Below are 15700 nucleotides of genomic sequence, written 5' to 3' on the forward strand. Positions count from 1 at the left end.
GAATTAGCCGGGCGTGGTGGCAGGCGCCTGTAAACCCAGTTACTCAGGAGGCTGAGGCAAGAGAGTTGCTCGAACCCAGGAAGTGGAGGTTGCAGTGAGCCGAGACCGCACCACTGCACTCCAGCCTGGGCAACAGAGTGAGACTCCATCTCAAAAAAAAAAAAGACACTTTGGCTGCTGCCTTAACTCTCTTTCTTGTTTCTGTGACGCCTGGTTGTCCCCACACTCTAGGTGAAGTGGTGTGTAGAGGGTGGCCCCACGTAGGCAACATCAGCAGCAGAGCTACCTGTATTGATCCCACCCCCTGGAATGGGACCTGAGGACGCAACTTCCTGGTTCTCCTCCCTGGACTTTCAAAAAATGCAGCATGTTTTATCCAGACATGAAGATAAGAATAAATCCTTCCATTTTGTTAGATAGAGGAAAATTCTGAGATTAAAAAGAATTCTTGAAGGTGAGGATTAGAATATTTTCCCGCCTCCTAGTGCTTATGACAGAGAGATTTAAAAGAAGATGGAGTCTACTCAAAGTTTGAAAATTTTAAGACTAAACAAAAGTTTTTATTACTAAGGAATTACTATTATATTAGTATTTGGTGAAAGTTCAAATTACAAGGACTACAGTTTGAGTAATGGACTCGTTTATAAAAGCCAGCCTCAGACATATTTAATGATATGAGACTTGATTACATTTAAGGGAGAAAAATTCTTGTGGAGGTTAAGGAAAAATCAATTGTGACAGGTTGCCATTTTCATGCCATTCATAATAATCAGTTACTCAGAGCAAGAACATCAAGGATGAAATGATAATACAAATTGCTTCAAGCAGTTATTGTAATCCCTTGGGTATATTGATTTGTGTATCTAATAAAAAGATGCTTTCAGATGTCTCATTGGCAGAGAGATAGGTGACATGAGCCATTATGAGAATTAGAGCTGGTGCTTGTTATCTGAATAGTTGTTGAGAAATTTTGAGATCATGGAACAAAATAGAGTCCAGCTGTGGTGTACTTTGCAACTTGAAATATCAAAGCAGTTTTGGAGACTAGCTTTCTTGTTTTAAAAAAGATAATTTATTAATATTTTAAAAGTTATATTGATTTATATTAAAATATTACAATAAAATAACTTATTTTTATCTTTTCTTGTAGTTGCATACAATCATAGAATGCCTTAATTTTTCTAACAGTTGCTTTCTTGTAATAAAATACCGTAGAGTTTAAATACTTATTTTAAAATGTGCCCATGTGCTTCACCAAAGAGCTACATATTGTAGAACATATTAGTAGTATTGCAGTAAATCAACAGAGATAGAAAGACTCTTGGGATGCTTTTTTTGGGATAACTGTTGTTAATATTCACAAATCATAGTGTTTCAGTTCCTCATCAGGAAAAGATTAACTAGAAAACAAACCCACCATGACATAATTCTGTAGCTTCTAGACTAGACCCAGGGTGGCTCTTTGGGGTACATTAGCACAGCCTTCACTTGCATACCCGGCACACTTTGATATGACAGCTGCTCACAATTAGAAGTTGTAGTTCTTCATCTGCAGTGTGAACATAAATAAACTTATAATTTCAGGAAAGTAGTAAAGAAACAAAATGCTAAGTGTTGAAAAAACAATCCTACTGATAGCATCTGGGGCATAATGCTCTATCAGAGTGTATAGCAAATATCTAAACTAGAAAACTTAGATTTTGTCCCTAAATTCCTTTTAAATATGAATTTAATTAGAAAACAGGTGCTCCAAATAAAAAATGCAAGCATTTTTATTATTGTAATTGATTTCTATCACAGAAAAGACTTAGTTAGCTTTACATAAAGTTCTGAATAAGAAGGGCTTACTAATTATTTGTTGCATATTAAATAAGAACTATATTTGACAGTATCTCATCATTTCTAAGCGGTATAGCTAAATTCTCTGTAATCAAAATTCCTAACAGAGAAGTGTAATTTATTCAAGAAGCAAGTATTTTCATAATTGTCTTTATTTTTTGAACTCCTTGATTCCTTACCCCTGTGCCATAAAAGCTGTTAGAAATGTATGGACCTTGTGATAATGATTGACTTATGACATTTCCTGCAAAACTAAGCATGTCTCCCTACCAGATCATGCCCCGTGATTTCTGACGAGGCGATCTGGAATGTCTCGTGAGACTGAGAATGGGAAAGTGCTGGAACCTCTGTGGGGTGGAAAGCAAGTGGGCATGTGGATGGTGGTTATGTAGTTGCTGAAGATGGAGAAGGGAGAGTCGGTATCACCTTCCCCAGGAGGATTTCTGTGGGCTGCCAGACTAGGGAGGGTCTGGGGTTCATGGACATGCCCTGTCTCATGCAAATGGATTCCCTTTGTGGCTACCATACATCAAAAACAGGTCACGTGTGTGCTGTGTGTTCAGAAGCCAACTTCACCAGGGACACCTTCAAGCCAGCAGCCAGCTAGCAGGGCAGGTCCCTTGGTTTTCTAATTGTCGCTGCCAATGTCTGTTGGAACAAGGCTCTCTGCTGAGCATGTGTGCCATCTCCTCTGCACCCTCCTGTTATCCTCCCTCCTTAGGCAGAGAGAAACCCTCAGTGTCTACTCAGGAAAGCACCAGCTGCTCCACCCTGGGCAGGCCGTGTAGGGTGCTTGTCCTTGGGGGGTTATGGCTGCAGCTAGGAAACACCAGTGGAGAAGGAAGCCCAGGCCAAGTGCAGCCTTCCCACTGGGAGAAAAGGGCGACCTGTCTCCAGCAGCTCCCAGGAACCACGACCACAGTAACACAAGCACTGCTTCTTGTCAGACAGGAAAGTCTGCCAGTAGGGACTGTGTTATCCTGGTCTACATTGTATCTTAAGCCTCTGACACAGTGTCTGAATGATTTTCCTTAAGGCATAGTTTGTGTTTTATTTCTCTCTACAGTTATCTTTATCTAGTGATAATTTAAAACCTTGACAAATCTGATTTTGACTTATTCATCTTTTCATACAGCTGATGGGATATTCTGGATGCTAATATTTTGTTTAATTTTATTTTATTGACATTAGAGTAGAAACTGTACCAAACGCTCTCTTTTACAATTGCATTAACTAAAACATGTATATAATAAGCTAAACATGAAATTAGATAGTTTTTCATTTCCTTTATGCAGTTAGTATTGTCAGCTGATAATTACCTGTTGCAAAACTTTAAAATATATCATCTAAGAGTTTTTACACTATAATGAGATATTAACTCCAAAAGATTAAGTAAACTGCAGTAATCAACATTCATGCAGCACTCCCTATCCCTCTAGGCTTCCTCTACCATGTCTTCATCATGGGGACGTCCTTTCGAAACCATGTTTTGGCCCCGCAGTTGTAGGACGGCCACTGTCTTCAGCGTCTGAGTGACTGCTGGGTCCCGCAGTCGCAGGGCGGCCACTGTCTTCAGCGTCTGAGTGACTGTTGGGTCCCGCAGTCGCAGGGCGGCCACTGTCTTCAGCGTCTGAGTGACTGTTGGGTCCCGCAGTTGCAGGGCGGCCACTGTCTTCAGCGTCTGAGTGACTCTTGGGTCCCGCAGTCGCAGGGCGGCCACTGTCTTCAGCGTCTGAGTGACTCTTGGGTCCCGCAGTCGCAGGGCGGCCACTGTCTTCAGCGTCTGAGTGACTGTTGGGTCCCGCAGTCGCAGGGCGGCCACTGTCTTCAGCGTCTGAGTGACTGTTGGGTCCCGCAGTTGCAGGGCGGCCACTGTCTTCAGCGTCTGAGTGACTCTTTGTTCCCAGGGCATCTTTCTATTCTTGGCTCCCCCATTGTCATCACTGCCTCCTCCTATGGCAGCATGAATTCTACAAGGGCTCTCAGGCCCTTCAGCTTCCCTCCTTTCTGGCAGCCTCATTCAGAGTCCATAGTGCAGAGTTCAAGCTCCTGTCATTTCTCACCCAGTTCACGACAGTGGCCGCTCTGCCGCCCTCTCTTCCTGCTCCCTCCATCATGTTTTGGGTGTCACAGCCTGAGTCATGTTTATGAAATGTAGGTTTGATATGGTTCGTTCTTTGGCTAAAACTTCAAAAGATTCCCATTGCTCTGTGGCGAGCCCCAGCATCTTCCTTGTGTTCCACGGGTGCTTTGCTCCTCATGCGTTTTTCTCAGACTGCTGTCTTCTGCACTCTTGGTGCTTGGCCACAAAGACTTGTCAGCCATCTGTGGCCACCACAGCGCATCCTGCCTTTCTGTCTCAACTCTTAGGAGAGATGTAACAAAATGTGCAGGTAGATGTCGCCTCTTCCACTGAAATGTTAGCTTCTTGGCTTTGAGGACTCTGTTTACCTTGGTATTCTGGTGCCCTGCACAGGGTCCCTGCTCAGTGAACACTGGTGAGCACATGAGTCAAGCCATGATAACCGTTTGCTTAGGTGCCTCATCTTCCACGAGACTTCCCACGCCCTGGAGGCAGGAGCTGTGCCTTCCCCCTTCCTTTGCCCCATGCTGCTCACCCGCAGTAGATGGGGGACAGCCTACACAAGAAGCCAGGAGGATCTGAAGAGGACTCAAATGAAAATAACACACAGTTTGTGTGGGGGAGGTGGACTTATCTTTAATAAAAATGGAAAGTTTGCAGTGCTCTACGGGATAAGTGCTCTGGTAGCGTAGAGACTGTAGCAGGCTATGAAAGGAGTGCACATTGACTGACACCCGCTGTGTGTTGGGCCCTATGTACTAGGCACTGACTGAACACCTGCTGTGTGTTGGGCCCTGTGTACTAGGCACTGACTGAACACCCACTGTGTGTTGGGCACCATATACTAGGCACTGACTGAACACCTGCTGTGTGTCGGGCACCATATACTAGGCACTTCTTGCATTGTCGTATTGTGACTTGTGGTTTTCTCTTTTTTTGGTGGGCTATAACCTGTTACTTTCCTTGATTGACCTTTACATTGTCTCCTCTCTGTCTTTAAGCTTTAAGCTGGCCTCTCTGTCGTACTATCATGAACCCATCATTTTTTTAGTATTTTTTGTTTTTACTTCCACAGACAGATGTTCCAGACTCATCTTGTACTTTCTTTGCTCCAGCCCTGGGCTTGGCTCTGGGTTCCTTTTAGCAAAAAATGCTGTTTAGAAGTCAGGTTCTGGGAGCTGGGCTTGCTCATGTGTATTGCCATACGCTGTTTCCAAATCCCTGCAGTGAACAGAGTCAGGCCGCGTGTGTGTGTGAATTGCATGGATGGGTGGATGGATGGGTGGGCGGGTGGGTGGATGAGTGGGTGAATCGGATGGATGGGTGGGTGGGTGAGTGAGTGGGTAGATGAGTAGGTAAGTATATAGGTGGATGGGTAGATGGATGGGTGGTGGATGGGTGGATGGATGATGAGTCCAGGGGTTTCTTCTAGTTTTTTGTTTCCACATTGTAACTCCTTCCCTGACAGTGAGAAACGGATTTATCATTACACTGAATATGTTTACTGATTTGAGCAACCCCTTACCTTACCAGCCTGTGGCCCTCTTTACATCCCTCAGCATCTCACCTCCCCCCGACTGTTCTCCTTCCTCACTGCATGTGGGCTCCAGCCCAGCACTTGTTTCTGTGCCTTCCCGGGAGGTTCTAACTGTTCTCCTTCCTCAGTGCACGTGGGCTCCAGCCCAGCACTTGGGTCTGTGCCTTTTCAGGAAGTTTTATCTGCTCTGCCCAGGCATGTGTGTGCACTGTGTTGAGAAAGCAGGACAGCAACACATTGAACTGCCCATTCTCTAGTTTTTAAAAATGGTTTCCTTTCATGAGGGTTGAAAATCTCATATTTGTTCACTTTGTATACATTAGCCAAAGCTCATAGTGTGATAAGACAAAAACATTAGGCATTTGATAAATGCTGATTAACTGAACACATGAATTCATCATTGAGTGAATCAATGCAGGACATATTAGAGCTACTTAAATCTTTAGCCCAAAAAATAGCCTTTTAGATGAGTATGGAATAGTATTTGGCTTTAATTGATTTAAGAGAAATTATCATCAGAATATCTCAAATTCTCCACTAGTGATAAATTTTGCTTGATGAGCAGAATTTTTGCACATCTGTTGTACCAGACTCCTCTGCCCGTAGAACAGACTGAATTCACTGTGAGAGAGCCTTTATCTTTCCATAGAAAATACTGGATAAATACAGGGGCTGACACAACATTCTTTACATGGACTTCCATCTCCTCAAATTCCGCTAGTACCAAACTCCTCTTACTGTGAAGCCAAGGGAAGAAACCACTGAAGGGTGCATTGCCTTCCTTTCTAAATCTGTTGTTCAGTAAACAAAATAATCCCTGTTTAAGGTGATCGCCTGTTGCATCTGTCATTGGTTGGGGATTAGAAATAAACACAGTCTTTAAAGAGATTATAATCAGAAGTGGGAAGTCATAGATACATTTGTCTTCTGTCTCTTTCCCTATATTTTGCACGTAGTAAATAATAAATAATGATTTACTCAAGATGTGACTTGCTGTTCTGGTATCAGAGATACTATTTTTGGTTTTTAAAAATTAATTTTTCTAAAGTAACCTCAAAGTTAATGAACAGATTTAAGAAGCTGGCTGGACATGGTTCGCCTGTAATCCCACCACTTTGGGAAGTCGTGGCAGGCAGATCACTTGAGGCAAGGAGTTTGAGACCAGCGTGGGCAACATGGCGAAACCCTGTCTCTACTAAAAATAAAAAAAATTAGGTGGGTGTGGTAGGGCACACCTGTGGTACAAACTACCTGGGAGACTCAGGTGGGAGGATCATTTGATCTTCAACCAGGAGGTTGAGGCTGCAGTGAGCTGAGATTGTGCCACTACACTCCAGCCTGGGCGACAGTATAAGACCCTGTCTCAATACAAGCAAACAAAAAAAGGTAGCAGCTCAGGCTACAGTTCACACTTATGACTTCTAAGTTATATAACCAGATTTGTGCTAATGTTACTGTTGGTGCTGATGTGAAATATAATGCTTTTTTAGTACAATACTGTTGATAACTCACACTAGCATGTTATGTAGAATTATGTAATTACTAAAACTGCACCCTGGGCACTCTCCCACCCCAACAAAAAGCAAATCAAATATAACGGTACCACATAAGGTTCATTAACCTGTGGAAATGAGCAGCTTGTGTATGATACAATTTAGGGAGGGATCTGTTTTGGTTGAATATTCAGTCATTCAGGCAACAGTTTTCTTAAGTTAAAGTCAATAATTTGTTTTGTTATTACAATTACAAAAATTGTTTCATAGCCTTAAGACAGAGACATGGTCTGAAACACACAGTATAGAGAGCAGAATTTTCATAATGGATCAATTTAATATGTTTTTAATTCCAAACAATATAAAGAAAAATGACTGCTTCTGAGGCTTAATTTCCATCTCACATGAGGCGTCTCCCCCGTCCTTTGGAGAGAGGCAGATGATGGTGTGTTTCCAGAGGCGCAGGCGCTCTGCTGTCTTCACAGACACGTCAGGTTACTGCTGCGTGTTTCTAGATGCAAGAAGAAAACCAGATTGCCAAGTTTCCTTGCATTCTTTAATCAGTCATCATTTCTCTTTCAAGTTACATTCTTAAACCTTAGCTTTCTGGATAAAAAATCATAACAATTTTAAAGATAATTTATGGATGCTAATAAGCTGAAACAAAATTAAATGGATTCTTGAACATTTTAAAGTATCTGTGTTACTTGTATTTGCATAATTTCATTTAATATACACTTTGAATCATTTTAAGGATGTTTGACATGCTAGGTTGTAACTACATGTCCTGTTTTTGTCTTAAAACTGAGTTTAGTGCATTAAAAAAAAAAGGAACTCAATATCTGAATCTACTTTTTATAAAATGAAATTTATAGATATGTCAGGGAAGATCTTTGTGTAAGTGCTAAGACTGAATAAAGTGTAGTTTAATTATTTTCCCCCTTAAAATGATACAAGTAGTTCAGAGAATATAAAAATATATAAATTTAGTATTAACACCGTAATATTAGTTTTCAATAATAAAATGGAAGTTTCCTTGGCTGGAAGTCCTAGCCACAGCAATCGGACAAGAGAAAGAAATAAAGCACATCCGGATTGGTAAAGAGGAAGTCACACTGTCACTGTTTGCTGATGACATGATCGTATGCCTAGAAAACACTAAAGACTCATCCAAAAAGCTCCTAGAACTAGTGAATGAATTCAGCAAAGTTTCAGGATACAAAATTAATGTACACAAATCAGTAGCCCTGCTGTATACCAAACAGTGACCAAGCTGAGAATCAAATCACAAACTCAACCCCTTTTATAAAAGCTGCAAATAAATAAATAAATAATACTTAGGAATGTACTTAACCAAGGAGGTGAAAGTCCTCTGCAAGGAAAACTACAAAATACTGCTGAAAGAAATCATAGATGACACAGACAAATGGAAACACATCCCATGCTCATGGATGGGTAGAATCAATATTATTAAAATGACCATGCTGCCAAAAGTAATCTACAAATTCAATACAATTCTCCTCAGAATACACCATTATTCTTCACAGAACTAGAAAAAAAAAATCCTAAAATTCATATGGAACCAAAAAAGAGCTCGCATAGCCAAAGCAAGACTAAGCAAAAAGGACAAATTGCACGGTACTGGTATAAAAACAGGCATATAGACCAATGGAACAGAATAGAGAACCCAGAAATAAAGCCAAATACTTATAGTCAACTGATATACAACAACGCAAACAAAAACATAAAGCGAGTAAAGGACACCCTATTCAACAAATGGTGGTGGGTTAATTGGCAAGCCACATGTAGAAGCCTCATCTCTCACTTTATACAAAAATCAACTCAAGATGGATCAAAGACTTAAGTCTAAGACCTGAAACCATACAAATTCTAGAAGATAACATTGGAAAATCTCTTCTAGACATTGGCTTAGGCAAAGACTTCGTGACCAAGAACCCAAAAGCAAATGCAACAAAGACAGATAGATAGACGCGACATAAACTAAAAAGCTTCTGCACAGCAAAAGAAATAATCAGCAGAGTAAATAGACAACCCACAGAGTGGAAGAAAATCTTCACAACCTATACATCTGACAAAGGACTAATATTCAGAATCTACAAGGAACACAAGTCATCAAGAAAAAAAAACAAACAGTCCCATGAAAAAGTGGGCTAAGGACATGAATGGACAATTCTGAAAAGAAGGTATACAAATGGCCAACAAATATATGAAAAAATGTGCAACATCACGAATTATCAGGGAAATGCAAATCAAAACCACAGTGCAATACCATCTTACTCCTGCAAGAATGGCCATAATCAAAAAATAGTAGATGCTGGTGTGGATGTGGTGATCAGGGAACACTTCTACACTGCTGGTGGGAATGTAAACTAGTACAACCACTATGGAAAACAGTGTGGAGATTCCTTAAAGAACTAAAAGTAGAACTACCATTTGATCCAGCAGTCCCACTACTGGGTATCTACCCAGAGGAAAAGTCATTGTGCAAAAAAGACACTTGCACACACGTTTATAGCAGCACAATTCACGATTGCAAAAATATAAAACCAGCTCAAATGCCCATCAATCAACGAGTAGATAAAGAAAATGTGTGTGTGTGTATATATATATATATATATATATATACACACACACACCATGGAATACTGCTCAGCCATAAGAAGGAGCAAAATAATGGCATTTAAAACAACTTGGATGGAATTGGAGACCATTATTCTAAGTGAAGTAACTCAAGAATAGAAAAGCAAACATCATCTGTTCTCATAAGTGGGAGCTAAGCTATGAATATGCAAAGGCATAAGAATAACACAATGGACTTTGGGGACTTGGGGGAAAGGGTGGGAGGTGGGCGAGGGATGAAAGACTACACACTGGATACAGTGTACACTACTCTGGTGATGACCTTCTGTAAAGAGGGTCATTGCTCAGGGGAAAAGACCTTACCAGGTCTGTCCCACCTGGGGGAAGGAATTCTTTCACTCCAACCCCCTCTAGTCTTCCTGTCTCACTAATGGCATGGGATATCATGGGGGGAGCTGAGAAACACTTGTGAAGGGTAGAGTGCAGGGGCACAGACCCATTAAAAAACTGAGATTTAATCATAAGATTGTAGCATGCTCCTCCTTCCCCACACCTTGTCTGCACACCATCAGGGCTCAGTGTGATAAACATGAGTTCTCTGTGAAAGAGCAGCAAGGTGTAGAATCTCTGAGGAAAGCCCAAAGTCAGGGGCATAGGCAAAACCAAGGACATGAGAGGAATTGGCAGCCCCTAACACCTACAGCTGCAGCAGACATTGAACACAGACCAGCTCCTGGCAAGATGAACATAAAGCCCCACACTAAAGGCTTGTTTACTTCAGCTCCTATTATCTCATACATCATATCCAGCTTTCAACAGACATTCCAAGATATGCTAAAAGGTGGGAAATAAGCAGTCTGAAGAAACAAAGCAAGCATCATAGCCAGACTCAGGTATGACGCAGATTTTTGGAATGACCAGATAGGGAATCTAAAAGAACTGTGATGCACATGTTAAGGGCTGGAATAGAAGAAGTAGACAACTCGCGAAAACGGAGAGATAACTGTAATCAGAGATGGAAACCCAAAGAATCAAAAGGCAATGCGAGAAACCAAAATGATGGTAACAGAAATGAAGAATGTCCTTGAAGGGCTTATTTGTAGACAGATGTGGCCAAGGAGCGAATCAGTGAGCCCAAAGACAGGCTAGTGAAAAGTTCCCAAACTAAGAAGCAAGAAGAGTCAAAATGGAAAAATAAAAAGAACAAAACATCCAGAACTGTGGGACAATTTCAGAAGATAAAAATATGTGGCCGGGCACGGTGGCTCACGCCTATAATCTCAGCACTTTGGGAGTTCAAGGTGGGCAGATTGCTTGAGCCCACGAGATCAAGACCAGCCTGGGCAGCGTGGTGAAACCCCATCTCTACTAAAAATACAAAAATTAGCCAGGTGAAGTGGCGCACACCTGTAATCCCAGCTACTCTGGAGGCTGAAGCAGGAGAATCACTTGAACCCGGAAGGCAGAGCTTTCAGTGAGCCGAGATCATGCCACTGCACTCCACCTGGGCAACAGAGGTGTTGTCTCAAGAAAAAAAAAAGATACAACTATGTATAATGGGGATACCTGGAGGAGAAGAAAGAATAGAGCAGAGTAATTTGAAGTAATAAGTCTGAGATCTTTCCAAGACACTAGACCACAAATCCATGAAGCTCAGAGGACACCAAGCTGGTTAAATGCCATAAAATGTACACCCTGGTGTATAATATTCAAACTACAAAAACACTGAAGGCAAAGAGAGAATCTTGAAAAGAGCCAGAGAAAATAAAAGCATTGGCCTGGGAAAGGCACACGCATGACACTTCCTGTCACAGTGAATTACCCAGACCCCACACATGAGGCCACCCTCACGAGAGGTGGGGCTTAGGTGTGTCGTTACAGATGTTGATGAACAGGAGGAATAGGGTACAAGGAAATACAGTTGACCAATGAGCAGCAGAGGGGTTAGAAGTGCTGACCCCTGTGCAGTCAACAATCCACGCATAAGTTTTGACTCTCCCCAAATTTAACTACTAATCACCTACTGTTGACTGGAAGCCTTACCAGTAACACAGACCGTCAATTCACCCACATTTTGTATGTAAAATATATACTGTATTCTTACAATAAAGTAAACTACAGAAAAGAATGCTATTAAGAAAATCATAAGAGGGAAAAGTTATATTCACGCTTCATTCAGTGGACGTGATCATCATAAAGGTCTTCATCCTCATCGTCTTCCAATTGAGTAGGCTGAGGAGGAGGAGGAAGGAGGATTGGTCTTGCTCCCTCCTTGGACTCTTGCAGTTCAAACCCTTGTTGTTCAAGGGTCAACTACAGGTAAGTGCTGGTGAAAACAAGAGTGGATACATCAATCTTGGAACAGGGTTACAGGAAGAGTGGGAGGGAGCGAGTAGGGAAGGTTCTGATTAGACTGGGGGAATATAGAGGGCAGTTTATTTAGACGAGGCTAGAGGCCTTCAGAATCCAGAAATAAATGGTAAACATGGGTTTTTTTAACTTTATGAAAGGAAAAACTTCTGGATTTAACACATTCAAATAATTTAGAAATTTAGAATGTGAAATTCCTCTCACCGTTGACCTTTTTCCCATTCCGAGTTCCATGAGCAGTGAGGTGTGTGTCAGCGTGTGCTCCTGCACACACATTTACACCCGTGCAGGTGCAGCCACACCTTTTCTTTGCATTCATCTGTCATGTTGAAGGTAGATCGCTGCCTTTGCTCCACGAGACTTCTTCCTGCGTGTTCTGCAGGGACATCCACGGCCAGCTCCGCCACTACAGGGCATGCTTGCTGCGGGCGTGCTGCTGTGGGCTTGCTTGCTGTGGGTGTGCTTGCTGTGGGCCTGCTTGCTGTGGGCCTGCTTGCTGTGGGTGTGCTGCTGTGGGCGTGCTTCGTGTGGGTGTGCTCCTGTGGGTGTGCTGCTGTGGGTGTGCTGCTGTAAGCATGCTTGCTGTGGGCTTGCTGCTGTGGCTGCGGTTTCGACCATGGGTTTGTGTGGCTTAGGGAGATAATCAACGGACGGTATTTGGTTTATTGTCACGTTCAGCTCTATGTATAAGATTTCCTTGGTTCAGCTTTTATAAAAATGTTTGTATTATAAGCTTATTGCATATTATTTATTTATTTTTTGAGATGGAGTCTCACTCTGTCACCCAGGCTGGAGTTCAGTGGCGCAGTCTAGGCTCACCGCAACCTCCGCCTCCTGGGTTCAAGCAATTCTCCTGTCTCAGCCTCCCGAGTAGCTGGGACTACAGGTGCCCATGACCATGCCTGGCTAATTTTTATATTTTTAATAGAGATGGGGTTTCACCATATTGGTCGGGCTGGTCTCGAACTCCTAACCTCAGATGATCTGCCCACCTCAGCTTCCCAAAGTGCTGGGTTGGATTACAGGTGTGAGCCACTGTGCCTGGCCTTATTGTATATAACTTCATCAGTCTCTCATTTTCTGAAGTTTCAGAAATGTTCTTTATTTTGTAGCTTATAAGACATTAAGTCCAGTTTTACTCCAATTTAATTCTCTTGTAAAATAACCTTCCTCCACATATCATATTACTAACACTTTCTATCGTAAGCCATAGAGCAATATAAACTAGACTCCCATTCAGCTGTGAAGCTTTTGGTCAGTATTTGAATTTTACATAATAACAATTATAATACTTGTTTTCTGTGACACTTTTTGGTTTTTGTTTTTTATATTATTGACGGTCAGTATTTGAATTTTGCGTAATAACAATTATAATACTTGTTTTCTGTGACACTTTTTGGTTTTTGTTTTTTATATTATTGACAACAGTGATGAACAAAAGTGCACACGTTTTAAAACTTGTACTGCTCAGTTAAACATCATAAAACGAGCACCCACTCATGGTGCGTCACACTTGTCAAGAAGTAGAATTCTCCCAGCTCCCGGGAGTGTCCCCTCCTCACCAAGGTGACCACCATCTTATCTAGTGAAGTAGAATTCTCCCAGCTCCCGGGAGTGTCCCTTCCTCACCAAGGTGACCACCGTCTTCTTATCTAGTGTGTAGTCATAGGCATATGTGAAGTTTCCCATCGTTGTGTGTCACAGCACATTTTTATATCGTCTTCTGTTATATGAGGAAGCCATAATTGTATGCAGCCACGGATTTCTACATCTTTGATCTCTGGGTTCTTTGGGCTTTTTGCTCTTAGGAATTCCTCTGCTCTGAATGGTGTATACAGATCTCTTGGTGCAGTCTGCATGCCTCCTGTAAGGTGTGTACCGAGCGAGTGGTATTCCTGGGTCGTATAGCGTGTCTGTATTCATTTCACATAATTCCGGTCTTCTAAAATTGTTGTACTGGTTTTTACTCTTCCCAGCCAAGCAAGAGAACTCAAGTTTCTCTATAATCTTGTCCACACTTGTAGTGTCTATCTTACGTTATTTTAATTTTAGCATTCTAGTGAGTATGTGGTGATATCTCATTGGGTTTTTAGTTTTCATTTTCTGGATGAATTATGAGGTTTGTTCCTGTGTTTATCGGCATGGGTGTCTGGACGTCTTGGTTTGGGAATTTCCTATGAAAGTCGTAGCTCATTTTCCCATTGGATTGTTAGTCTTTCTGGCTGTTGTATAGGAGCTCTTTGTATATCCGGGTTATTTTCTCCCACTCTGCTGGTTGCCTTCTCACTTTGTTCATAGTGTTTTGATGAGTAGCAACTCTCAGTTGTAACATTGTTTATCAACCTTTTTTTTTTATGGTTTAAGAACTATTTCTGCACTGTAGGTCATGAAGATACTCTCTCATATTGTCTTCTGAAGTTTTATTGTTTCCTTTCTGTTACATTTCTAAACATCTAGAATTGGTTTTTGTATATAAGAAGAAGTAGGGACCCAGTTTTCTGTTTTTCCCCTATGTGGATTTCCAGTTGACCCAGAAGTGATTGTCGAAAGGCTGCCCCTTCCCCACTGTGTGCACGGTCTGTGCAGGAGTCAGTGTCCACACCTGCCCCTTCCCCACTGTGTGCACGGTCCGTGCACGAGTCAGTGTCCACACCTGCCCCTTCCCCACTGTGTACACGGTCCGTGCACGAGTCAGTGTCCACACCTGCCCCTTCCCCACTGTGTACACGGTCCGTGCACGAGTCAGTGTCCACACCTGCCCCTTCCCCCTTCCCCACTGTGTACACAGTCCGTGCACGAGTCAGTGTCCACACCTGCCCCTTCCCCACTGTGTACACAGTCCGTGCATGAATCAGTGTCCACACCTGCCCCTTCCCCACTGTGTACACGGTCCGTGCACGAGTCAGTGTCCACACCTGCCCCTTCCCCCTTCCCCACTGTGTACACAGTCCGTGCACGAGTCAGTGTCCACACCTGCCCCTTCCCCACTGTGTACACGGTCCGTGCACGAGTCAGTGTCCACACCTGCCCCTTCCCCCTTCCCCACTGTGTACACAGTCCGTGCACGAGTCAGTGTCCACACCTGCCCCTTCCCCCTTCCCCACTGTGTACACGGTCCGTGCACGAGTCAGTGTCCACACCTGCCCCTTCCCCACTGTGTACACGGTCCGTGCACGAGTCAGTGTCCACTCCTGCTCCTTCCCCACTGTGTGCACGGTCCGTGCACGAGTCAGTGTCCACACCTGCCCCTTCCCCACTGTGTACACGGTCTGTGCATGAGTCAGTGTCCACGCACAGTGGGTGCACATCTGGGCCCTTTCCTGTGATTGGTCTGCTGATCCCTTTCTTTGCTAATAATTTTTAATTGCTGTAGGGAGTTAGGGATTGCATTTAAATGTCTATAGATCTTCAGAGATAATTAATTTTTATAATATTAAGTCTTTTAGTCAACGAATATTGTGTATTCCTTTATTTTTCAATAATGTCTTATGATTGTTCTCTGTAGAGGTTGGTATACCTTTTGTTGGATTTATTTCTAAGTATTTGACTTTTTTTTTTTTGGGGGGGGGTGGGGGAAGACAAGGTCTTACTGTGTCACCTGGGCTGGATTTCAGTGGCATGATCACTGCTCACTGCAGCCTCAACCTCCTGGGCCAAAGCCATCCTCACACCTCCGCTTCCTGAGTAACTGGGAGGGACTACAGGCACATGCCATCATGCCTGGCTAATTTTTTATTTTTTTGTAGAGACTGGGCCTCCTGTATTCCCTAGGCTGGT

At 42.7% G+C, this 15700-nt stretch overlaps 1 protein-coding gene across 36 annotated transcripts in view, besides 1 other annotated feature; it reads left to right on the forward strand.

The window, feature by feature from the left end:
- Window positions 1–15700, forward strand: part of ATP9B (ATPase phospholipid transporting 9B (putative)) — a 308890-nt gene that overhangs the window by 152813 nt on the left and 140377 nt on the right. The gene's annotated exons all lie outside the window — the stretch shown is intronic.
- Window positions 13440–13640: a silencer, noted in NCBI's record as "peak3193 fragment used in MPRA reporter construct". NCBI's record gives its function as "represses an SCP1 promoter by STARR-seq MPRAs in K562 erythroleukemia cells {active_cell/tissue: K562}" and the evidence as "EXISTENCE:reporter gene assay evidence [ECO:0000049][PMID:32103011]".

The sequence above is a fragment of the Homo sapiens genome, chromosome 18, assembly GCF_000001405.40.
Source record: "Homo sapiens chromosome 18, GRCh38.p14 Primary Assembly".
Taxonomy (NCBI): Eukaryota; Metazoa; Chordata; class Mammalia; order Primates; family Hominidae; genus Homo; species Homo sapiens.